The sequence below is a fragment of the Homo sapiens genome, chromosome 16 (genome assembly GCF_000001405.40).
Source record: "Homo sapiens chromosome 16, GRCh38.p14 Primary Assembly".
Classification (NCBI taxonomy): domain Eukaryota; kingdom Metazoa; phylum Chordata; class Mammalia; order Primates; family Hominidae; genus Homo; species Homo sapiens.
The window spans coordinates 69,560,381-69,585,124 of NC_000016.10; the positions used below are offsets into that span (position 1 = coordinate 69,560,381).

Consider the following 24,744-nt stretch of genomic DNA (forward strand, 5'->3'; position numbering starts at 1 on the left):
GGAATAGTTTTTTCATCTTTTTTGGGTGATGAGTCTTTCTTTCAGAAAGCTTAAGAAGTCCAAAATTTTAACCTTTGTCCCAAGAAACTAGATGTTTGTCAAAATTTCCATATAAGTTTAGGAAGATTACAGATGCCTTGAAGCAAACCCATGGACCTCAGAGTTAAAACTCCCTGAATTAAGAGAGAGGGTAATGAGAAATTGTACAATCTTTACTAATTCATACTCTTGGTCAAACTAATATCACAGCTGAGGTGGGGTTACTATACATAATAGATACCATGATTACATGGAGGAAAGAGCATTGTAGCAAATGCAATGTGGTGGTCTACACAATGGTGGTAGGCCAGTGTGAATAAGGACTTGCTTGCAGTTTTCATGTGTAACCTGCCTAGTGATGATCTGGAGACATTATCTTCCTTCCTTTCTTGGGTTAAATGGGATCAACTATTTCTATTTTCCCATTAAAATTTCTCCTCCTTAATTTATCCTTCATACTGCTCTGGCACTGGCTGGTTCACACCTGTAATCCCAGCACTTTGGGAGGCTGAGGAGGGCGGATCACTTGATGTCAGGAGTTTGAGACCAGCCTGGCCACTAACATGGCAAAACTCTGTCTCTACTTAAAAAAAAAAAAAAAAAAAAAAAAAAAAAAAAAAAAAAAAAAAGCTCTGGTATTTACCTCCTTTCTCCCTGCTCACTGAGTCCTTCAGATTCAAAATGATTGTGCTGTTTCTCAGGACTTGCAATTACTCTAGATCTTGAGAGACTTAATTGGTCTCTATAAGACTTTAGATGCAAACTCTGAGACCAACTCATAAACTAAAGAAGTATGCCATCAAAGTGAACAAAGTGAATTGGATGTCTGATGCTAAGATTTGGGCACTTTAGAAGATGCCAGGGGTGAGAATGTTTGAAACCTGATGCTAAATAGCATATAAACTAATTTTGCCTTCACAAATATTTGTGAGGCTAGGCACCGTGGCTCATACTTGTAATTCCAACATTTTGGGAGGCCGAGGAGGGAGGACTGCTTGAATCTAGGAGTTTGAGACCAGCCTGGGCAACATGGTGAGACCCTGTCTCTACAAAAAAAAAAAAAAAAATTAGGCAGGCATGGTAGCACACACCTGTGGTCACAGCTACTCAGGAGGCTGAGGCAGGAGGATCACTTGAGCCTAGGAGGTTGAGGCTGTAGTGAGCTGTGTTCACACCACAGCACTGCAGCCTGGGCAACAGAGTGAGACCCTGTCTCAAAGAGAAAAAAAAAAGGAAATATTTGCTAGAACATGTTATACGGGTGGAAATTGACACTTAAACATATTCAAATAGGAATTTGATTACAATTCCAGCACAAATGCTGTCACTACTATATCCCACCACTATCAATTCTCCATTATTATTAAGGAGTGCTCCCATGGTGGGGCAAAAATAATTGTGGTCTAAACTTTTTTTTGGTCTTTGACTTGAATTACTCTGGAAATTTTCCTTTCAGATTTTGTGTTTGTTTAGTAGGTTCCTTACAATATATGTGTGACTAAAATTATTTTAACAGCCTTAATTGTATTACAATGACAAAGATTTGTAGATCTTGTGACAGCAAGATTAAATAAACTCTGTTCTGTATGAGTTTATTTAATTCCTTTTCAGTGGCTGATATTTGAACCTCTTTCATTTAGAGTCAATCCAGCTACACAATTCACAAAGTGCCTAAACAAGTCCAGGAGGGGTTAAAGTACACACCACCAATATAAAAAGTGCCATTCTATTGCATAATCTACAGTCTTGTAGTTGAATCTGGGTTCTTGTGAAATTTTAATCAAGTGACTAGGGAAGGTAATATATGATTGGGAAGTAATATAAAGGAATTCTATAAACTACTAAATCTGCTGTATGTTTTGCTCCATGGTCCCATTATAATTTTCAATAAGAGGAAATTTCCAAATTTTACCTTTTGTTGTGTACAGAGGAAGTTTTATTTTATTTATATATATATTTTTTGAGACAGGGTCTCACCCTTGCTGCCCAGGCTGGAGTCAGTGGTGTGATCTTGGCTCACTCAACCTCTGCCTCCTGGGTTCCAGCAATTCTCCTGCCTCAGCCTCCCAAGTACACTACAGGTGCGTGCCAACATGCCCAGCTAATTTTTTTTCTTTTTTTTGTATTTTTAGTAGATACAGGGTTTCACCTTGTTGGCCAGGCTGGTCTCGAACTCCTGACCTCAAGTGATCCGCCTGCCTCAGCCTCCCAAAGTGCTGGGATTACAGGTGCGAGCCACTGCGGCCGGCCAGAGGAAGTTTCATAAAGGTATACAGTTGAAGGGGTAGTTTTAAAAATATATCATTAGACTATTTCAAACATCAAAGAAAAGGGGATGCAACTGAGATGTAAATGATCACAGAGGGAAATATCATTGGAACTAAGAATGGCATATAATTTACTAATGACACAGTGATCAGGTACTTATTTCTGATAACCTTGAATATCATGCAGGTCACATTTTATTTTGTGATTAGAGCAGAGCAAACACTATTTACTAATGAATTTATTTGTGTTTTCCGTCACTGAAATTTGAAAGACAAAATGAAAATCTAGGTCTCTATGCTGTTGCAAAGTATGGCCAAGAAAACTAGCCAACTAAGCAGTTTTTCAAAGAAGGTGTCTTGGGCCAGGCTCAATGGCTCATGCCTCTAATCTCCGCATTTTGGGAGGTCGAGGAAGGAGGATCACTTGAAGCCAGGAGTCCAAGACCAGCCTAGGCAATATAGCAAAATCATGTCTCTGCAAAAAAGGAGTTCAAGACTAGCCTGGGTAATATAGTAAGACCATGTCTCTACAAAAAAATAAAAAATAAAAATAAATAATAAAATGAATTAGCCGAGTGTGGTGGCATGTGCCTGTAGTCCCAGCTACTTGGGAGGCTGAGGTGAAGGATCACTTTGAGCCCGGGAGGAGTTTCAGTCTGCAGCTGCACTGAGCTATGAAGCTGCCACTACACTCCAGCCTGGGCAACAGAACAAGACCCTGTCTCAAAAAAATAAACAAACAAAAAAACCCGAAAGAATAGAAAAGAAAAAAAAGAAAAGAAAAGAATATAGGCCAGGTGCCGTGGCTCATGCCTGTAATCCCAGCACTTTGGGAGGCCAAGGCGGGTGGATCACCTGAGGTCAGGAGTTCGACACCAGCCTGGCCAACATGGTGAAACCCCATCTCTACTAAAAATACAAAAAATTAGCCGGGCATGGTGGTGGGCGCCTGTAACCCCAGCTACTCAGGAGGCTGAAGCAGAAGAATCACTTGAACCAGGGAGGCAGAGGTTGCAGTGAGCCGAGATTGCACTGCTGCACTCCAGCCTGGACAACAAGAGTGAAATTCCATCTTAAAAAAACAAACAAAAAAGAGAATATATCTCTGTAAGAAGACAGGTGCAGGGGGTGGGAGTGGACACTGATTTTTCAAATACCTATTTAGATATAATCCGTGCTTAATGCAGGACCTAATGAGGTAAGTGAGGCCTGAGCCCACAGAATCCCTCTCAGGGAATTCGCAGTTTAGGTCAAGCCACACTTTGGTGGGCCTCTCTTCACTTTGCTCTTACCTAATCAGGGGAAATCTGATTAACATATACAACAAAGCCTCAACGGGGAATAAAAAGGTCACAAAAGGGCAGAGAAGGATTCACAGAAAAAGGAAGAGGCCTTGCCAGTTCTTGACTAGTTAATTAGGGTCAGAACCGTACTGGGGATTTCCTATACCCTAAGTTTGTTAAGTGATTACATCGGTCTGGGGAAAAGGGATCTGCTCAGAGTGATTCAGTCAACTTTCTTAGTATCGGGTGGTGAATCGCATTTCCTCTCTGCTACCCTGTATACTGACTAATGGGTGGCGTATGGGGGGTCTCCAAGAGGTGTGTTTACTCCAATTCAGAAGCTATAGGATTTCAGTAGGCCTTGGCCTGTTGGGCAATGTGAGGTTTCAATCTTTCTCTCTCAAATGAGTGGGGCTCTTATCAGTTATGAAGGGACTTCCCTTGGGACTTGTCACGACACCATACAGCAGAGATGGCAATTTGAGGGCAGTTTCTTGTTCTGCTTTGCCATCTTGGGGTGGCTCTGAAAAGCTTTCTGAACCTCCGACAAAAGAAAAATGTTCACAGGATTGATTACTACACACAATTCAGTGAAGACAACTGGGCAACCTGAATCAAATGTTGAGATGAAAGATAGGTGAGCTCTGATGACACACGTTTAAATTCTAGGTCTACAGGTAAAACTTTGTAAAGGGCCTTGCCTCAGCGACATCTGTACTGGGCCCTCCTTTGCTGAGAGCTTCTTACCCCAACCCTAGCACTCCAAGTCCCGAGAACTGCTCAATTTCATGGGAAAAAGTCTCTATAATTATATATATATGTATATATGTGTGTATATATGTATGTATATATATGTGTGCATATATATACACATACACATATTACAACAGACTGATTTTCATGAGTTGTAACTATCCTTGTAGATAAAAAACGAAACCATTCGAATAGCTTAAAAACCATGCCCACGTGGCTACTGGCATCAATATTCCACACAAGATTAAAATTACTTCCCAAGATGCACACCCTGCACTCCAGGTAATATTTCAATAACTTGATTAAAAATTTCTCAGAAGTCTATTAGAATCAGAAAACGCTCTGCGGTGTGGGTGAGGATTTTAAATTTTTGCAACGGAAACTTTTGGCTCCACGAACAGAAAAGCAAGAGCAAAAACTCAGTTAAATGCGTTCTTCCTCCATCTTTGCCTAGTCCAAAAGGAAAAAAAAAGAAACAGAAAAAAGAAAAACTGTTTGGAAGAGTAGCGTTGAGGTTTGCTTTTTACCTGTTTTTCCTCTAGAACAGCCAGGTGGATTCACATGATCCAATTTTTTAATTGTCTTCTATGTCCCACTCCGAATAACCCGGATGCCCCAGCACAATCAGAGAGATCGTTTTTTTTAAAAAAAATTTCAGCCTCCAAAGGTAGGAGGGGAGTGTTAGGGGAGAAAGTACTTTAATTAAAAATCAATAACTCGAGGTTTTTGGGATACGGTTTGCCATTTCCTAATTAAGAAATGGGTTTGACAGTCCCTTTGTACACACTGCTATGCAAACCCCAAAGGGTTGGCGGCTGTCCGGGCGATGACACTCCGGTCCCCTGCGAGACCCCGGGCCAGCCAGGCCCGTCCGCCGCCGGCCTCTGGGGTCCGTCCCCGGCTCGCGCAGACCTCTCGCTTCTCTCGGCTCTGTCTCCTGCGCTCAGCTCTGCTCGGGGCCGGCCGCCTCAGGCTCGCCGCCACCAGGTCGTTGCAAATACCTTTTCCCTCCCCGGGGCCCCAGCGCGCGGCCACCTCCCAGCCTCCCCCCCTCCCACCCTGGCAGCGGGGCCCTTTCCCGGCTCAGGAACAGCAGCAGCCCGGGCCGCGCCGGCAGGAAGCGAGGCCCATGTTGCTGCTGTTCCCTGGCGCGCCTCCCCGCCCTCCGGGGGCCGCCACGGCTCTTCCGCGCTCCCGGGCACCCCCCTCCGCGCCTGCGCTGTGCCCCACGGGGGCGGGGCTCAGATTCCTGTCAGCGGCGGCGGCGGTGGCGGCGACCGTCAGTTTTCGCTGAGGAGAAACACGAAACGGACCCTTTGGCTCTCCCCCTTCCCCTTCCCCGTCCTGAACCCCTCTCCTGGTCACCGAGAATCAGTCCCCGTGGAGTTCCCCCTCCACCTCGCCATCGTTTCCTCGGTCCTCGGCCCAGTGGAAGTCACTACCCTCGAGGAGGAGGCAGCGGCAGCCGCCCTCGCGTCGCCGCCCCCGGTTCGGTGCCCGCGGTCCCGGAGAGGAGGTGCCGCCGCCACCGCCGCTCCCCCCCTCCCGCTGCCCTCGGGCCGGGCTGGGTCGAGCTGCGATGCCCTCGGACTTCATCTCATTGCTCAGCGCGGACCTAGACCTGGAATCGCCCAAGTCCCTCTACTCGCGAGGTGAGTCAGGCTGTGGGGGGTGGGGCGTGGGGGCGGGGAGACAGGGAGACAGGGAGACAGGGCCAGGGGAGGCGAGGGGTCCCCGTCCCGCCGGGGGCGGCTGAGCCGCGACCCCCATGGCTTCTTTGGCCGGAGCGGGCAGAGGCCGAAGGGATCGGGGTGACGGTGGAGGGGGCGGGCGGAGCAGTGGCGGCCCCTCCCCCGCGGAGCCGCCGGCCGCTCGGGGCCCAGATTCCGTCGGCCCCCGGGGCTCTGCGGCACCGGTCGCTTCTAGCCGCTCTCAGCCCGTCCGGCCCCGCCAGGCTCCGCGAGCCGCCGGCCCCGGCCTCCCGGGCTCGGGGATGGCCCCAGACTGGGCCCCGCGCTGGGGCCACCGCGATCGGGGCGCCGCGTCTTCTCTTACCGGGACCCTCCTCCCCAGCAAAGTTGCCCCCAAGCGGGCGGCGTGGCCTGGAGCCGGTTCTGAGTGCAGGGTCACCATTTTCCTCCCTTTCCAGCTTGTTTTTGCGCCGTCGTTCCACCCCCTCTCCCTCCGGCCTAGTCCACTCCCTCCCCATGTTGGGACAGCCCCCCTCGACCAGGCGTTCTTCCTTTCCTCGTCATCTTCTTGCTGGAAAGGGCCCGATGGAAAGGGCCCGAATTTTCTTTTCTTTTTTTTTCTCTTCCCACCTCCGTGGCATTCTAATTACTTCTCCCTTCTCCTTTACAAAGATGGGGGTGCCCTCTCTGGATTGGTTTTATTCCTCTCCTCTCCCAGGAGGACCAGCCCAGGCACAGACGCTGTCCTTTGAGAATTTTCTCTGCTTTTCCGTTCAAGGGCTGGTTGCAGGGAGGGAGCTCAGGCAGAGACTTTTCATTTAAGAACTCTTTTGGCTAAGGCCTGCAGGGGATTCCCAGCATCTGAAATATTAGCACTGGAGCTGATCCCTACTCAGGTGAAATTCCTTTACTGGACACCACAAGAATGTGTCAGAACAGGTTCCCTGTGCAAGGGGCTTCAAAACCAAAATATTCCCACTGCGCTCTTTACGCTTTTTAAACCACCGGGAGGGGGCAAAAGACATAACTGGGTTGTTAACTATTCATTTCACCGTGTAAAAAAAAATGTAGGTGTTTCTTCTGCTTTTGGTTTGATGTATCCATCCATTTGCTTATTCCACCCCCTCCAAAAAAGGGACTTCACCTTCCTACTAGTGTATCTAAATTGTTTAAGTGAATCAGAGTGAGATGGTTTACTCTGAAAGGTGCTGGACTTTACAGACTGACCATTGATTTTGTACACAGAGTCCTACTTAGTAATTGTAGCCACTGTCTGTTGCTCCAATGACTTTAGTTGGCAGCCACCATCCTGTAGGATGTTTTTCGGGCAACATTACCTGAGGTACTTTAGAAATATTGTAGTTTTGAATGTCAAAAAAAAAAGAGACATATCAAGAGATGATTCTTAGAGCAGGGCTAATGTGTTAGAATTGAGTGCTAAAAATAGCCAAGACATTAACACCATTTGGGGAGTAATCATCAGATAATTTTCCATGAAACATATACTTTATGAAAATCTAAGTTTAGCTTCGAGACCAATGTAGAGACAATTCAGCCTCTTTTGCGGGGAATATATTCACAAATATGGGCTTTAGCGCTTAAAAATACACTGCAGTTGGCCGGGCGCAGTGGCTCACGCCTGTATTCCCAGTACTGTGGGAGGCCGAGGCAGTTGGATCACCTGAGGTCGGGAGTTTGAGACCAGCCTGACCAATTTGGAGAAACCCCGTCACCCCGTCACTACTAAAAATACAAAATTAGCCGGGCGTGGTGGTGCATGCCTGTAATCCCAGCTACTCGGGAGGCTGAGGCACGAGAACCACTTGAATCCGGGAGGCGGAGGTTGCGGTGAGCCGAGATCGCACCATTGCACTCCAGCCTGGGCAAAAAGAACGAAACTCCGTTTCAAAATGTATGTGTGTATATATATATATGTGTGTGTGTGTGTGTGTGTGTGTGTGTGTATATATATATATATATACACACACACACATTGCAGTTATATAAGAGATGTATGCTATCCTTGGCATTTTTTTCCTCATTCAGCATAAAAAGTACCTAATGCTTTTTGTGTTTTTCAGATTCTCTGAAGTTACACCCATCACAGAATTTTCATAGAGCTGGACTATTGGAAGGTCAGCAAAGTACCATTTTAAAGCATATTGTGTTAGTATGCAAAGGCTTTCTCTGAAATGGAGTTTAAATGGGAAAGTATGAAACTTTGCAAACTCACACAATGTAGTTTTCTCCTAAAGAGTCTGATCCTTCTTTTAGAGCAGCTGAATGTTTCAATGGGTTTTGTTGCTGCGTTTGATGTGCTTGTTGGCTGTTCTATCTGCTTTGAGAAACATTGAAAAAAAAATCATTTTAAATTATGTGTTGAGTGTTCTACTTTAGAATTCCAGACCTTCATTTTAGCTTTTTATACACAAAATAGAATGTGAAAAGGCCCAAACATTAACATGAATATAAAAGAGTGACACCAAACACATAATTAGTTTGAAAATTCAGAATTTAGAACATTTATATGCTGAGCATTTCAAAATATGTTAATTATTTATTGCAAAAGCATTGATGCCATTGTTATTGCATTATACTTAAGGGTAAGGAAAGCCAAGTAATAGCGATGATGATTGAGCTATGCTTAGAAGAAAGGGGTTTAGAAAGTTCTGGAAATGTTAATAGAGTCTGTAGATTAGTTTAAACAGCTTACACTTACTTTAGAAAACTTTTGGCTTTGTGTGTGTGTGTGTTTTAACATTTTAAGACATAAAATAGTCTTGTGTTTTTGTAGATTTTGAAGTGATTTCACATATATCATCTTTAAATCTTTATAATTTTGGAATTGGACAGCAAAGGTACTAATTTCCCCATTGTAGAGAAGAGAAACTAAGGCTGAAATTAAGAAACCAAAAAAAAAAAAAAGTCCCACAGTAGAAGAAATAATACTTTCTGCGTTTCAGTTAGTGCTCTTTATGCAAAGCGGCCACCGTGAAATACACATGTAACCAGTAACAAACATTTTATGGTCTACTTTAAAAAGGCCCTAAATATTTAAGTTTGACTTGAGAAGATTTTTGCCTCCCTTGGAGGTAGTCCGGGATAGTGGGGGGCAAGTGGGTTTTGTAGTTGAGCTTAAATTTGAATACCAACTTAGCTCCTTATTAGTTCTGTGACTTCGGGCAAGTGATTTTACCTCTCTAAACTTTAATATTCTTCCTGTTAAAATGTAGCTGTCTCTTAAATTTAGTGAGCTAATGTGTATTAAATTGCCTAGCATAGCGTCTAGCTTAATAAATGTTAGTTTTTTCCTTTAGTATCAGCTAAATTTTTTTAACAGTATAATTTAGAGCATATAAAATGTTCTCAAATAAATAATTGGTTAAATTTGTTTTGTACGTGTAAGAAGCCCATAGATATACATTAGTATGAAAATCAAATATTTTTAAAACTACAATTTGAAGTGAGAAATTTTTAGCAGTGTTTCTTAGTGAAGCAGATTTCTGGTTTTTATTCATATTCAATTTGTGACCATGTTGTAGAGACATATTTGTCTGTACAAACCCATCTCATTTCCTGGACAACAAACCATAGAGTGTCATAATCATAGAGATGATCAGGGAGGAGAAAGACATGAAGAAAAAAATGAGTGTTAATTATTTAAGCAAATATTTTTAGTGAGCTGATGGAAATACAGACAACCATTTAGCATGTTTATTTACATGTTTATGCCTAAATACTTTCGTTAATTTTTCATTTTAGTTAAGGGGATTCTCATTTAAAGTAAGGCTACCCTTTTAGAAATTATATATAAAATATAACATGTATAAGTATCAATTCTGTCATGCCCTTTAAAATGTTTTGAGACAGGGTGTCTTAAAAAAGTTGTTTGCTTCTGTAATGAAGTGTCTAATCTGTGCCACCTCATTGCTATTTCTTTTTTATTATTGACATTTTAAAGAATACATAAAAGTAGAGAGAATAAAATAAGCCCCATATACCCATCACCACAGTTTAACCAGTATCTAATCTTGCTTCTTTTATCCCTTCTTCTCTCTCAAGCTGGATTATTTTAAAACAAATATCAAACATCAGATCACTTCATACATAAGTATTTCTGTATTACAGTGACTTTCTTATATTAATTATTATTGATATAATTTAATTGTTAATATAATTATTGTATTAATTTTTAATTACTCTGTATAGTTTATAAACTATTTCTTGGAATATTCTAGTTTATTTCAGCAAAGTCTCTTGTGACTCTCCTGCCCTCTTTTCAAGACAGAGTGCTGCAGGAGGCTACCGCTTCTAGTATATAGTATATCCTATAACCTATGTTGAAATTGTAGGCCATGCTGCTAGATTGGAGTTCATATTGTTGCTCTGACATTTACTTGTATGGCCTTAGCCTAATAATTTAATCTTTTTTGCTTCAATTTTCTCATCTTTAAACGGGAGCAATAATAGTGCCTCATCCTAGGTTTTTGTGAAGATTATTTGAGGCAAATTCGTGTAAAGCATTTAATTTAGCACATGCTAAGTGCTCAGTAAATGTTAGCTAAAGTTAAAAAATTTTTAAAAACTAAATGCTAGCTGTAGAGTGTTTACTGTGTGCCAAGAACTTTACAAATAAGAACTCCTGAGGTGGGCATATCACTTGAGGTCAGGAGTTTGAGACCAGCCTGGCTAACATGGTGAAACCCCATCTCTACTAAAAAAAAAAAAAAAAAAAAAAAAAAAAGCCAGGCATGGTGGCATACACCTGTAATACCAACTACTCGCGATGCTGAGGCAGGAGAATCCCTTGAATCTGGGAGACAGAGGTTGTGGTGAGCCAAGATCACTCTACTGAACTCCAGCCTGGGTGACAGAGTGAGACTCTGTCTCAAAAAAACAACAACAAACAAACAAACAAACAAAATAAGAACTCAGCGAATTCTCCTGACTACCCTTTGAGATGGTTATTATTATCCTACTTTAGAGATGAGCAATTGAAGGCATAACTCACCCAGAGTCACAAGCTAGTAAATTGTAGAACCAGAATTCCAACCCAGGTAGTCTCACTTTAGCCTAGCCTCTTGACTACTGTGCTGTACTAACTCCCAATGGTATATACTATCAAGTTCTGTCTAGTAATATTTATGTATGCATGTTTTACATCAGTAGTCTAGATTTTCATCTATAAATAGTATTTAAAAACTTGGCCCAGAGTGAGGGGAATTTAAGTAATTGGTGTGATATAATTTAATTTTTTTATAGAACGTACGTTTTCCAAATTTAAATTTTTTTTTTGGGGGGAAACAAGGTTGGAAAACCTGCACTTGGGTATTATTATTATTATTTATTATTATTATTTTTTTGAGATGGAGTCTTTGCTCTGTCGCCCAGGTTGGAGTGCAGTGGCACGATCTCGGCTCACTGCAAGCTCCACCTCCTGGGTTCACGCCATTCTCCTGCCTCAGCCTCCTGAGTAGCTGGGACTACAGGCGACTGCCACCACGCCCGGCTAATTTTTTTTGGATTTTTTAGTAGAAACAGGGTTTCACCATATTAGCCAGGATGGTCTCGATCTCCTGATCTCGTGATCCGCCTGCGTCAGCCTCCCAAAGTGCTGGGATTACAGGCGTGAGCCACCGCACCTGGCCTGCGCTTGGGTATTATTAAACTTTAGAAGTAGATTCAAAATGTCTACTATTCAACTGAGTTTGCATTTAACCTTCCTATCAAAACAGTGCTAGTCTTTCTTGCAACCTCTTTTTAAATTTAATACGATGATTGCCTGACAATGGGAAAAGGGTCCTGGCTAATTAATTAATGTTATAATACATGGCCATTAAATGATGTTTCTGGTAACCCCATAATTAACATGTGACACTCTTAATAAAATAAGTAAATAAAAATTATGCTGTTACAATTATATTCAAAGTAACTTGTGTTACAAAAATCCTGAACAAAAGTATACATCACTGATTTTCTATTTTTCAATTCTATTTTTGTATTTTCCATCTTTAAAGAACATGGTTTATATATTTTTTTTAAATAAAATTGTTTGCCATTAGTAAGTTCAAATTCGAAGGCTAGGATTCCTTTTTGAAGTGCCTGGGAAAAAAATTCAGCTGCAGAGAAAAGGCACCATTTGTTGTACATTCTATAATGAAAACTATTCATTTTGGCAAATGAAAAACTAAGATAGAAATGAAACTGAATGAATCATTCTAGAAATAGAGAAATATAAGATTATAGAAAAATCATAGATAAAACAGGAAAAATAAGAGTATAAACAAATTGGAAAAATAGATAAATATAAACAATAGATTTAACAATTTTAATGATTTTAAAAGCATGAGTTAAGAGATTATATATCAAATGAAAGAACTGGTTAAATAAGAGCTAAATGCTGATCTGATATAATCTTTGTTATTTATTTATTTATTTATTTATTTTTGATACAGAGTCTCACTCTGTTGCCAGGCTGGAGTGCAGTGGCATGATCTCAGCTCACTGCAACCTCTGCCTCCTGGGTTTAAGTGATTGTCCTGCCTCAGCCTCCTGAGTAGCTGGGACTACAGGCGCGTGCCACCACACCCAGCTAATTTTTGTATTTTTAGTAGAGACAGGGTTTCACCATGTTGGCCAGGGTGGCCTCGATCCCTTGACCTCATGATCCACCCTCCATGGCTTCCCAAAAGTGCTAGGATTACGGGCATGTGCCACCGCATCCGGCCACAATCTTTGTTTAAATTAAACATTTAAGACCGGAAGATTTTTAAAAGAAAATGTGAAATATGACAATGAGTTAAGAGAAAATAAACTATGATTTTTTTTTTACTACTGCTAATCTATTTGATATGGTACCATCCAGAATTATACTTCATAGTGCAAAAATGGAAAATCCTAAACATAGTAGCAATGTTTTATTGACTTTATAGAATATTTCTGATTTATATTTCTTCCTAGGGCCCTTGTTATATCATAGATCATAAATGCCTATAATATTTTATGTACAAAGATACCTTTTTGGAAAGGATTTTTTGAAAACATTTAACATGAAAAATAATCTATTGAATTCTTTTCTTGTTTAGTATCTAATAATCTCTGTGGATCCATGTCTAGTAAACTAAAAGTATTATGGAAATAATGAAGTTCAAACATGTCAAAAGTCATACCTAGTTCATCCCAGCTTCTTGTCTTTAGATCCATCTCTTTCTGATTGCTTACCACCTGTTTTTGTGTCCCTTCCTAAACTCTGCTTTCATTATTTTCACTCAATACTGGAATTCTATTGCTTATTTAAAATAAAAGGATATAAATTCATATTCTAATCCAGTGGTTCTTGGCCTGATTTTAATTTACTCTTGACTCTGATTATTCCAGGAGTCCCCTAAAATTTCAAAGTGGTAGTACAGAAAAACATTTCCCAGTGTGATTAGTATTATATATAAAAAACAGCCACTTTTTTTTTTTTTTTTTTTTTGAGATAGAGTTTCGCTCTTGTTGCCCAGGCTGGAGTGCAATGGTGCAATCTCAGCTCACCGCAACTTCACCTCCAGGTTCAAGCGATTTCCCTGCCTCAGCCTCCCAAGTAGCTGGGATTACAAGGGCGCACCACCACACCTGGCTAATACTGTATTTTTATTAGAGATAGGGTTTCTCCATGTTGGTCAGGTTGGTCTCGAACTCGTGACCTCAGGTGATCCACCCACCTCGGCCCCCCAAAGTGCTGGGATTACAGGCGTGAGCCACTGCGCCCGGCCAAAACAGACACTTTTTATATGAAAAAGTTGACTCCTCAGAGTATATTTTATATTAAGAGTAACAGGTAACTAGAAAAAAATAAAGATTATTCAGTGGCATAGGATATAGACCTTTTAACTTTAGAGAGGTAAAAGACATTTTTCAATAGAAATGTTGCTTATTAATTTGTATTATTGTCTTTTCTTGCTGTTGCTAAGATTTTATTTCAAGTTACGCAAAGAAGGTTGCTGTGTCTTCTGTTTGCTTTTGTGTTAATAAAAGTCAAGTTTAAATAAACTAACAGAGTATAAGACCAATGATAATTATGTACTTGAGTGAAAAGGTAGAGATTTCCTCTATGAGTTAACTACAGATAATGGATCTAGCTTTCAGAATAAATAAACTTGATGTAATAAAGGATATATATATTTAATCATTTGAACTAAACATTTGTTACATGAGAGTTCAGTTACTTTTATTTGTTCTTAATAGCTTTTGAAAAATATATACTTTTCTCTTTTTTTTTTTTGGTTTTTGAAACGGAGTCGTGCTCTGTCACCCAGGCTGGAGTGCAGTGGCACAATCTTGGCTTATTGCAACCTCTGTCACCCAGGTTCAAGCAATTCTCCCACCAGAGCCTCCCAAGTAGCTGGGATTACAGGCACGCACCACCATGTCCAGCTAATTTTTTGTATTTTTTTAGTAGAGATGGGGTTTCACCATGTTGGCCAGGATGGTCTCGAACTCCTGACCTCGGGTGATCTGCCTCCCTCAGCCTCCCAAACTGCTGGGATTACAGGCATGAGCCACCGTGCCCAGCCCATTCTCTTTTATTTTTAACATTTATGTGGTAAATAGGTAATGATCATTATTGCTTCCCACCCATGAATGTTTATCACTTCTTTTTCATTCAGGAAACACTGTGATTAGTCTTTTACTGAATTTGGTATTTAGTTTTGAAGATGAGAGAAGAACAGAAAAGTTTCTAATAGTGAGCTAAGTTGTTGATTATGCTTATTTATTTATTTATTTATTTAGAGACGGAGTCTCTCTGTTGCTTAGGCTAGAGTGCAGTGGTGCGATCTGGGCTCAGTGCAACCTCCGTCTCTTGGGTTCAAGCAATTCTCCTGCCTCAGCCTCATGAGTAGCTGGGACTACAGGTGCACACCACCATGCCCAGCTAATTTTTGTGTTTTTAGTAGAGACAGGGTTTCACCTTATTGGTCAGGCTGGTCTTGAATTCCTGACCTCAGGTGATCCGCCCGCCTCAGCCTCCCAAAGTGCTGGGATTACAGGTGTGAGCCATTGGGCCTGGCTGATTATGCTTATCTTTATAAAATTAGTTTTACAGGAGGCTGAGGTGGGAGGATCATCTGAGCCCAGGACGTCAAGGCTGCATTGAGCCTGCATGATCATGGGATCATGCCACTGCACTCCAGCCTGGGCAACAGAGCAAGACCCTGTCTTAAAAAATAATAATAATAAAATAAATAAATAAAGCAAGAGAAGAAAAAAATTTAGTTTTAATAAAAAAAACTGTACCTGAGGCAATCTTTGTAGGACATGCTAGTCAAAAGAATAAATTCAGTGTTAGTAATAATTGAAAACCTTTTTTGAGCAATTTATATGTCAAGCAGTTTATGTTTAACACCATTTTACATATATTTTTCACATTTAACTCTTAGAAAAATCCTGCGATGTAGTACCAGTATCCCTATTTCGTAAATGAACAAACTGAGGTACAGAGGGATCTACTAATTTTCCCAAGGGCACATATCTCGTGGATGAGGCTGGAATTTGAACTTCACCAGTTTTACCCCAGAGCTGTGAGATTATATTGACTGTCTTAACAGTCAGTAAGAACATTTGAGGCCGGGCTCGGTGGCTCACGCCTGTAATCCCAGCACTTTGGGAGGCCGAGGTGGGCGGATCACGAGGTCAGGAGATCAAGATCATCCTGGCCAACATGGTGAAACCCCGTCTCTACTAAAAAAATACAAAAAAATTAGCTGGGCGTGGTGGGCGGGCACCTGTAGTCCCCTGAGGCAGGAGAATGGCTTGAACCCGGAAGGTGGAGCTTTCAGGGAGCGGAGATGGCGCCTCTGCACTCCAGCCTGGGCGACAGAGTGAGACTCGGTCTCAAAAAAAAAAAAAAAAAAAAGAACGTTTGAAATTGGCATTTATACTTTGGGCCCTAATAAGATTACACCATTGTTCAGATGGTATAAAAAGAATAGTTTGTGTAGGATTCTTTACTAAGCAGCTTCCATAAAGTAATGAGACAAATTTTATAAACTACATACAAAAATTCATAAAGAATATGATTATGACTCTTTTGGGGAAGATTTTAATACTCAAAATTAGCAAATCATTGCCTGGCTTTGGTGAGTGTCTTTAACATTTAGAGGAAGTGATGGCTGATCAAAACACCTATGTTGGCCTAGCTCAGTGGCTCACGCCTGTAATCCCAGCACTTTGGGAGGCTGAGGTGGGCGGATCGCTTGAACTCAGGAGTTCGAGATCAGCCTGGGCAACGTAGCAAAACCCCCTCTCTACCAAAATTAGCCAGGGATGGTGTTACGCACCTGTAGTCCCAGCTACTTGGGAGGCAGGCTGAGGTGAGAGGATCACATGAGCCCAGGAGGTCAAGAAATACCTCTCTCCTGGCTGATGATGGGACTCAGAAGTGAAAAGTAGGAGAAGGCTAAGCAGAAGCCACCACCTAAGGGGAATTACTTTAGAAATGAAGGTGCCGTGGGGCTCTTGATTTCTTTGGCAGTAGTTTTATGGAAGCATGGATGCCATTGTTCCCTATTTCTGCTAGTATGTTTCAGAGACAAAGTAAATTCAAGAAGAGATGAGCAACAGAAGAAATAGTACTAATGTGAGCTATGTGAATAGTGGTATTTTGCATAGAGCCTTTATTAATTTACTTTGGTTCTTTCTGCTTTGTCTTTTTTAATCTGCCCCTTTCACCCCGTGTATCCGTTTTCTCACGGTAGTCTATACATTTTGTTGTTCTGCTATGGCATCTTGTATCCTTTCTCTATTTCCCTTCTTCTGAAAACAAACGTCTATAAAGGAGGTTTGCTATTGTAAATTGTAGTTTAGAAGTTAACCCTCCCCCTGTGGTTTAGTCTCTTCTAATAAGCTATAAGCAACATGGGCCAGAACCTATGTGTAAATTCATCTTGAGTGAATGAATAAATAACACTATTATGGCTAAGTAACCTATACTTGCACATATACATGAAAAATATATGGTTGGCTATATTATGGAATAATATAGGAATCTATAAAAGAACAAAAAATTTATTACCTTTATACCCAGTTTTAAAAATACTGTGTTCCCTTTTAGAAGGTTGTGGTGCTTGAACGACAACAAAAAGGTAAAGAGTACGCACTGTATAGACCCATTTATGTGAAGTTCTTTAAAAGACAAACCTATGGTAAGAAAAAGCAGATCAGTAGTTGCCTGGGGCTGGAGTGGGCAGGATTAACTACAAAGGACCAAAAGTAGCTTTACGGAATGATTGAAATGTTCTCTGTCTTGACCATGTGATTACACAAACATACATACTTTTTAAAAAAACTCATAGAACATTTAAAATGGGTGCATTTCTATACTTCTATAAAGGACACGGGTTATATATATTCTGCCACTGCACTCCAGCCTGGGCAACAGAAGAAACAGTATTAATGTAAGCTATATGAATAGTGATATTTTGCTATTTTGGGAAGCTGAGGTGGGAGGATCACTTGAACCCAGGAGGTAGAGGATGCAGTGAGCAGAGATCGTGCCACTGCCCTCCAGCCTGGGTGACAGTGAGACCCTGTGTCAAAAAAAAAATTTTTTTTTTTACCTGTACTGAACATGTACAGACTTCTTTTTCTTGTTGTTATTCCCTAAGTGATGCAGTGTAACAGCTATTTATGTAGCACTTACATTGTATTAGGTATAAGTAATCTAGAGATGATTTAAAGTATATAGGAGGATGTGCATAGGTTATATGCAAATACAAAACCATTTTATATTAGGGACTTGAGCATCTGGAAATTTTGCGGGAAGTCCTGCAACCCATCTCCAACAGATACCAAGGGACGACTGTACTCCGATATATAGTTTCTATAGTTAAGCATAAAGGTGAAAACAGAATATGAGTTTTTGGTCCCTTACAAGTGAGTACTATCTTGTGCTTAACTATGTATCATAAATACTAATTTTGAGTAAAATTCAGATGTGCCCATAGTCATATATATACTGTATTCTGATAGCTAGTTTGAGATATTAGGCATTAAAATGCTTTTATTAGCAATTCAATAGAACACTTAAAATTTGTTGGTAGAAGACTGATTACATAACTCAAATTATTTGTTTGAATTAAAGTTTTCATTACAGTCATCTAAGTCAATAAAACTCGTGTTTAAGTGTGTCTTATGACAGTGACCATAAGCCAAACACAGACTTAAGCCAACAAATAGCTATCCTTTACAATGGAGTTGTGAATTTGTTAATGTTTTTCTTTTCTCCAGTTTATAAGTAGCAACTTGTTGGATTGTCATTCTGAAACACTGAAACAAAGATTTTACTTGAAAAAAAATACTATGGTAAAATGGAATGAATAATAAATTAATTTTCCCAAATGTCAATATTCAACTTATAAACACCTTGATAATTGACATTTGTAAGAACTTTAGAAACACTATAAAAGTTGCATCTGAATAAGTTTTTTTTTTTTTTTGAGACGGAGTCTGGCTCTGTCACCCAGGCTGGAGTGCAGTGGCGTAATCTCGGCTCACTGCAAGCTCCTCCTCCCAGGCTCAAGTGATTCTCCTGCTTCAGCCTCCCAAGTAGCTGGGACTACAGGCCTGCACCACTACACCTGGCTAACTTTTTATATTTTTAGTAGAGACGGGGTTTCACCATATTGGCCGGGCTGGTCTGGAACTCCTGACCTTGTGATCCGCCTGTCTCAGCCTCCCAAAGTACTGGGATTACAGGCGCCGGCCACTGCGCCTGGCCATAAGTTTTAATAAAATTATATTGTGAACTCCAAGACATTTTTCTGTATTCTTTTTTGTGTCTGTTATTAAATTATATTCTCTGGAATATTGGGCTAACGTAGGGTGAATGGATGGGAAAATAAACACAGATGTAATTTTATAATTATTTTTAAAGAACTTTTCATTTTCTTAGTGAATTTTTGCCTATAATATTGGGTACAGGATGAGAATTTATATGTAATATTTGAATTATAGATACTTTGGATAAAATGACTTCTTAATTCCTTAAAAAACTAATTATTGCTTTTTTTTAAAACTAGGTAATTAGGTAGTTGAAAGACAGAATGTCATTAAGTTAACTAAATTACCACTGTATTACAGTAAATACAAACAACATACTTACAGTGTAAACTATGGTAAATAAAAACTAAAAAAACACTTCCTTGAAAGTATTTTTTAACCAAACTTCACAAGGATGGATAGAATTAACACTATAAATTCTGCACAGAAAAAAAATAGTGCATACTAAATTGAGAACAGATGCACAGAAGTGCTATTTTTAGAAATTAAAAAATGGTAAAGATGATAATAGGCAGATCAGAAGTCCCACATATTTATCAGGGTTGTAAATAAAAACCCAGTTCAAAAACATGCATTACTAACTGGCTGTGTGATTTTTAGGCAAGTTACTTAACCTTTCTGTGACTGTTTGTTCTTGTAAAATAGGAATAATAGACTTATAGAACTGTAACGAGGAATGGATGAGTTAATATTTCTAAAGCATTTGGAATAGTGCTTGACACATAGTAAGTGCTATATGAGTGCTTCTTAAATAAGCAAAATAAAAGTATGTACCCAGAGGAAAATTACTTGGCAAACATACTTAGAATGTAGCAAGAAACCAGGATTTTATTAGCATAAGCTTCAGAACAACTCAAGTGTTGCTAAATTTACATTACATTACATATTAATGTAATAACTATTTTAATGTAATATGTATTTTAATATGTAATGTAATTACATATTAAATATGTATATAATTACTTTTAATATGTAATGTAATGTAACTACATTACATATTAAAAGTTTAGGGCTGGGCATGGTGGCTCCTGCCTGTATTCCCAGCACTTTGGGAGGCCAAGGTGGGTGGATCACCTGAGGTCAGGAGTTCAAGACCAGCCTGGGCAATACAGTGAAACTGCATCTCTACTAAAAAATACAAAAAAATTAGCCAGGCTTGGTGGCGTGTGCCTGTAGTCCCAGCTACTCAGGAGGCTGAGGAAGGAGAAATGCTTGAACCCAGGAGGTGGAGGTTGTGGTGAGCCAGGCTCTTGCCAGTGCACTCTAGCCTGGGCGACAAGAGCGAAACTAAAAAAAAAAAAAAAGTTTAGGCATTTATAGCACTGTGTTGCGCAGGGTTTATCTTCCTAAAATACAAATCCAAACTTATCACTTGCTTAAATAATCCTTTAGTAGTATCCATGGGTTTTAGGATGAAATCCAAATTCTTTTTATTTTTGAGATGGTGTCTCGCTCTGTCACCCAGGCTGGTGTGCAGTGGCATGATCTCGGCTCGCTGCAAGCTCTGCCTCCCAGGTTCACGCCATTCTCCGGCCTCAGCCTCCCGAGTAGCTGGGACTACAGGTGCCCGCCACCACGCCTGGCTAATTTTCTGTGTTTTTAGTAGAGACAGGGTTTCACCATGTTAGCCAGGATGGTCTCGATCTCCTGAACTCTTGATCCGCCCACCTCGGCCTCCCGGAGAGCTGGGATTACAGGCGTGAGCTGCCGCACCCGGCCGAAATCCAAATTCTTAAAACCTGGGTCCTCATTATATTTCTTAAAAAAATTGAGAAAAAATTCGGTTAACAAAGTTCATTTTGTTTGTTTGTTTGTTTTGTTTTTGAGACAGGGTCTCACTCTATCACCTAGGCTGGAATGCAGTGGTGCGATCCTGGCTCACTGCAACCTCCGCCTTCTGGGTTCAAGTGATTCTCATGCCTCACCACATGAGTAGCTGGGACTACAGGAGTGTGCCACCACGCCAGGCTAATTTTTTGTATTTTTAGTAGAGGTGGGGTTTTGTTATGTTGGCCAGGGTGGTCTCGAACTCCCGAGTTCCTTTTTATTGCAGAATAGTATTCCATTTTATGGATATATCACATTTTGTTTATCTATTCATTAGTTGATGGATATTTGTGTCATTTCCACATTTTGACTGTCATGAACAATGCTGCTGTGAACATTCATGTACAAGTTTTTGTATAGACAGATGTTTTCATTTCTCTTGGGTCTGTCTATACATAGGAGTGGAATTATTGGGTCATATGGTAACTCTATATTTAACTTTCTAAGAAACTGCCAAACTGCTTTCCATGATGGCTGCACCATTTTTTCATTTTTACCAGCAGTGTATGAAGGTTCAGATTTTTTCAAATTTTTTTGCCAGTACCTATCTGTCTTTTTAATAAAGCCATCCTAGTGGGTATGAATTGGTATTTCTTGTGATTTTGAGTAAATGTCTCTGATGACTAATGACATTGAGCATCCTTTCATGTGATTACTAGACAGTAGTATTAATATATCTTTGGAGAAATGCCTATTCAAGGCTTTTGTGAACTTTTTATGATGAAAAAATCTTAAAAATTATATATTTATCATGTACAACATGTTGTTTTGAAATATGTATACATTGGCTAATTTGAGCTTATTAATATATGCATTAACTTTTTTTGGTGAGAACGCTTAAAATCTATTTTCTTAGTGATTTTCAAGAATGTAATACATTGTTATTAATTTTTCTCACTTTAAAATTGGGTTATTAGGCCGGGTGGGCGCAGTGGCTCATGCCTGTAATCCCAGCACTTTGTGAGGCCGAGGAGGGCGGATCATTTGAGGTCAGGAGTTCAGGACCAGGCTGGGCAACATGGTGAAACCCCGTCTCTGCTAAAAATATAAAAATTAGCCAGGTGTGGTGGTGCATGCTTGTAATCCCAGCTGCTCAGGAGGCTGAGGCAGGAGAATTGTTTGAACCTAGGAGGGGGATGTTGCAGTGAGTCGAGATTGTGCATCTGTACTCCAGCCTGAGCAACAGAGTGAGACTCTGTCTCAAATAAATAAGTAAATAAATAAAATAAAATAAAATTGGGTTGTCGTCTTATTCTTGAATTGTAAGGGGGTAGTGTCATTTGATGCACAAATATTTTAATTTTGGTAAAAGCCAATTTATTTTTTCTTTGTTGCTCATGCTTTGGTGTCATATTTTAAAAACTATTGCCTAGCCCAGGGTCACAGAGGTATACCTATGTTTTTTTCTAAGAACTTTATAATCTTAGCTCTTACATTTAGGTATTTGATCCATTTTGAGCTAAATTTGTATATTGTGTGAGGTAAGAGCCTAACAGCTTCATTGTTTTGCATGTGCATATCTAGTTGCCTGAGCACTATTTGTTGAAAAGACTTGTTTCCCCCATTGAATGGTCTTGGCACTCTTGTCAAAAATTAATTGGGCATAGATGTATGGCTTTTTTTTTTTTTCTTCTGGACTCTCAGTTCTATTCCATTTATCTGTATGTCTATCCTGTGTCAATACCATATTGTGTTATTACTGTAGCTTTGTAGAAGTTTTGAAATTAGGAAGCGTGAGCCTTCCAACTTTTTTTCTTCTTTTGTAGGATTGTTTCGGCTATTTAATGTCTCTTGAATTTTTATATAAATTTTAGGAACAGCTTCTCAATTTCTACAAAGAAGTCAGCTGTGATTTTAGTAAGAATTATGTTGAATCTGTAGGCTAATCTGAGGAGTATTACCATCTTAATAATATTAAATATTTTTGTCCATGAACATGGGATGTCTTTTTATTTTTTTTAGATCTTTATTTCAACAATTATTTTAAAAATTTATTTATAAGTATTCCATTCTTTTTTAATCATTGTTTTTTAAGTGTTAATAAAATTATGGAAATAATTTGAAGAAAGGTTTGTCAAAATTTAGGAAAGCTCTTATTTATTAAATTTCTGTTTTATTTATTTAAATTTATTTATTAAATTTCTGTTTTTAAGGGATGGGGTCTCATTCTGTCACCCTGGCTGCTGGAGTGCAGTGGCATGAGCATGAATCACTGTAGTCTTGAACTCCTGGGCTAAAGCAATCCTCCTGCCTCAGCCTCCTGAGTAGCTGGGACTACTCAGTGTTTACAGGTGTATAACACCATGCCCAGCTAATTAAAAAAAAAAAAAAATTGTAGGGATGGATTCTTCTCTGTTGCCCAGGCTGATCTTGAACTCTTGGCCTCAAGTGATCCTCCCATCTCATTCTTCCAAAATGCTGGGAATACAGGTATGAGCCTCAAGGCCTAGCTGAGCTTTTGTATTTAAACACAAGATTATGCATGTGTTAAGGGAAAGAAACCTAGCATATGATAAAATCTGTAAAATATTAGAATCAGTCATAGATCTAAAGCTGCAGTAAACAATAAAGAACATCTAGTGAAGTCCAGTTTTGCTTAAATAGTTATACTGGATGGTAAGCTTCTTAAGGGCATTGACTATACCTTGCATTTTTGTAACACCTGGCACAAATGCTTTGTATTTGAAAGGTTCTTGATATTTATTGAATGAAAGAGTAAATGAATGAATCCTACATCCAGAAAAGAAGGAAGGAAGGGTTTTGGAAGTTTGAGGATTGTGCTCTAGTTATATGTAACCTACAAGTAGCAAGTTTCAGTTGGAATAATAATAATTGCATTAAAATAACTGCAAATGGGGAACTAGGCCTTTAAAGAGTTGGGGCCAGTTGCGGTGGCTCACACCTGTAATCCTAGCACTTTGGAAGGCTGAGGTGGGCAGATCACTTGAGGTCAGGAGCTTAAGACCAGCCTGGCCAACATGATGAAACCTCATCTCTACTAAAAATACAAAAAATTAGCTGGGCATGGTGGTGCGCACCTTTAATGCCAGCTACTCGGGAGGTTGAGGCAGGGGAATCGTTTGAACCCTGGAGGTGGAAGTTGCAGGGAGCTGAGATCGTGCCACTGCACTCCAGCCTGGGAGATACAGCAAGACTCTGTCTCAAAAACAAAATAATAATAATTGGAACTATTTAATCTGTAAAGATAAGAATTTAGATAAATAAGATGAAAATTGAGGTGTATTTGTTCTGTGTCTCTTTTTTTTTTTTTTGACAGAGTGTTACTCTGTCATCTGGACTGCAATGCAGTGAGTAGGGTGCAGTGGTGCCATCTCGGCTCACTGCAGCCTCCGCCTCCCAGGTTCAAATGATTTTCATGCCTCAGCCTCCTGAGCAGCTGGGACTACAGGTGCATGGCACCACACCTGGCTAATTTTTTGATTTTTTAGTAGAGACAGGGTTTCACCATGTTGGCCAGGCTGGTCTCGAATTCCTGACCTTAAGTAATCCACCTGCCTCGGCCTCCCTCGGTCTTGCTATATATAGCAAGACACCATCTCTACAAAAAATAAAAAAATTAGCTGGGCATGGTGGCATGTGCCTGTTGTCCCAATTACTCAGGAGCCTCAGGCGGAGGATCCCCTGAGGCCAGGATGTCGAGGCTGAGTGAGCTATGATTGTACCACTGCACTCCAGTCTGGGTGACAGAGTAAGACCCTGTCTCAAAAATAAAATTTATTTTGGTGGTGGATGCACAGCTGTGACTCTGCTGAAAGCCACTGAATTGTGTGCTTTAAGTAGGTAAATTGTATGATATGTGAATTATATCTCAATAAAATATGTATATATATACATGTATATATATTCACAAATATAAATGTATTGGAAGGGTTTAAACAGATGGCAAGTGCTGTCAAAACAGAGTAGAATTTATGTTTTTATTTTTTATTTTTTGAGGTGGAGTCTCGCTCTGTCGCCATGCTGGAGTGCAGTGGCATGATCTCAGTTCACTGCAACCTCTGCCTCCCGGGTTGAAGCGATTCTCCTGCCTCAGCCTCCCTA

At 40.1% G+C, this 24,744-nt stretch overlaps 1 protein-coding gene and 1 non-coding gene across 10 annotated transcripts in view, besides 6 other annotated features; one reads left to right on the plus strand and one right to left on the minus strand.

Moving 5' to 3' along the window:
- Positions 3,654 to 4,550: an enhancer, noted in NCBI's record as "H3K27ac-H3K4me1 hESC enhancer chr16:69597937-69598833 (GRCh37/hg19 assembly coordinates)". NCBI's record gives its function as "activates a minimal SCP1, AML or CMV promoter by ChIP-STARR-seq in primed H9 embryonic stem cells {active_cell/tissue: H9 hESC(primed)}" and the evidence as "EXISTENCE:reporter gene assay evidence [ECO:0000049][PMID:30033119]".
- Positions 3,953 to 4,092: an enhancer, noted in NCBI's record as "active region_11042". NCBI's record gives its function as "activates an Ori minimal core promoter by ATAC-STARR-seq in GM12878 lymphoblastoid cells {active_cell/tissue: GM12878}" and the evidence as "EXISTENCE:reporter gene assay evidence [ECO:0000049][PMID:35858748]".
- Positions 5,212 to 5,591: a silencer, noted in NCBI's record as "silent region_7662". NCBI's record gives its function as "represses an Ori minimal core promoter by ATAC-STARR-seq in GM12878 lymphoblastoid cells {active_cell/tissue: GM12878}" and the evidence as "EXISTENCE:reporter gene assay evidence [ECO:0000049][PMID:35858748]".
- Positions 5,311 to 5,487: a silencer, noted in NCBI's record as "fragment chr16:69599594-69599770 (GRCh37/hg19 assembly coordinates)". NCBI's record gives its function as "represses an EF-1alpha promoter that drives an FKBP-Casp9 reporter gene in an ReSE screen in K562 erythroleukemia cells {active_cell/tissue: K562}" and the evidence as "EXISTENCE:reporter gene assay evidence [ECO:0000049][PMID:32094911]".
- MIR1538 (microRNA 1538) lies at positions 5,428 to 5,488 on the minus strand. The gene has a single exon (NR_031719.1). It is a non-coding gene; the product is annotated as a microRNA 1538 (primary transcript).
- NFAT5 (nuclear factor of activated T cells 5) overlaps positions 5,586 to 24,744 on the plus strand; it is a 138,689-nt gene continuing 119,530 nt past the window's right edge. For 5 of the 9 annotated variants that reach the window (NM_173214.3, NM_006599.4, XM_011522817.4 and 2 more), the window contains exon 1: positions 5,586 to 5,994. Coding sequence is in view for 4 of the 9 variants with exons in the window: in NM_006599.4 (NP_006590.1) it covers positions 5,922 to 5,994 (73 nt within the window). In the remaining 5 variants the exon portion in view is untranslated. Of the gene's footprint in view, positions 5,995 to 8,114; positions 8,169 to 24,744 lie in introns of all 9 variants that reach the window. The other 4 variants (XR_007064848.1, NM_138714.4, NM_138713.4 and 1 more) reach the window with 1 other exon arrangement.
- Positions 5,782 to 6,051: a silencer, noted in NCBI's record as "silent region_7663". NCBI's record gives its function as "represses an Ori minimal core promoter by ATAC-STARR-seq in GM12878 lymphoblastoid cells {active_cell/tissue: GM12878}" and the evidence as "EXISTENCE:reporter gene assay evidence [ECO:0000049][PMID:35858748]".
- Positions 6,072 to 6,381: a silencer, noted in NCBI's record as "silent region_7664". NCBI's record gives its function as "represses an Ori minimal core promoter by ATAC-STARR-seq in GM12878 lymphoblastoid cells {active_cell/tissue: GM12878}" and the evidence as "EXISTENCE:reporter gene assay evidence [ECO:0000049][PMID:35858748]".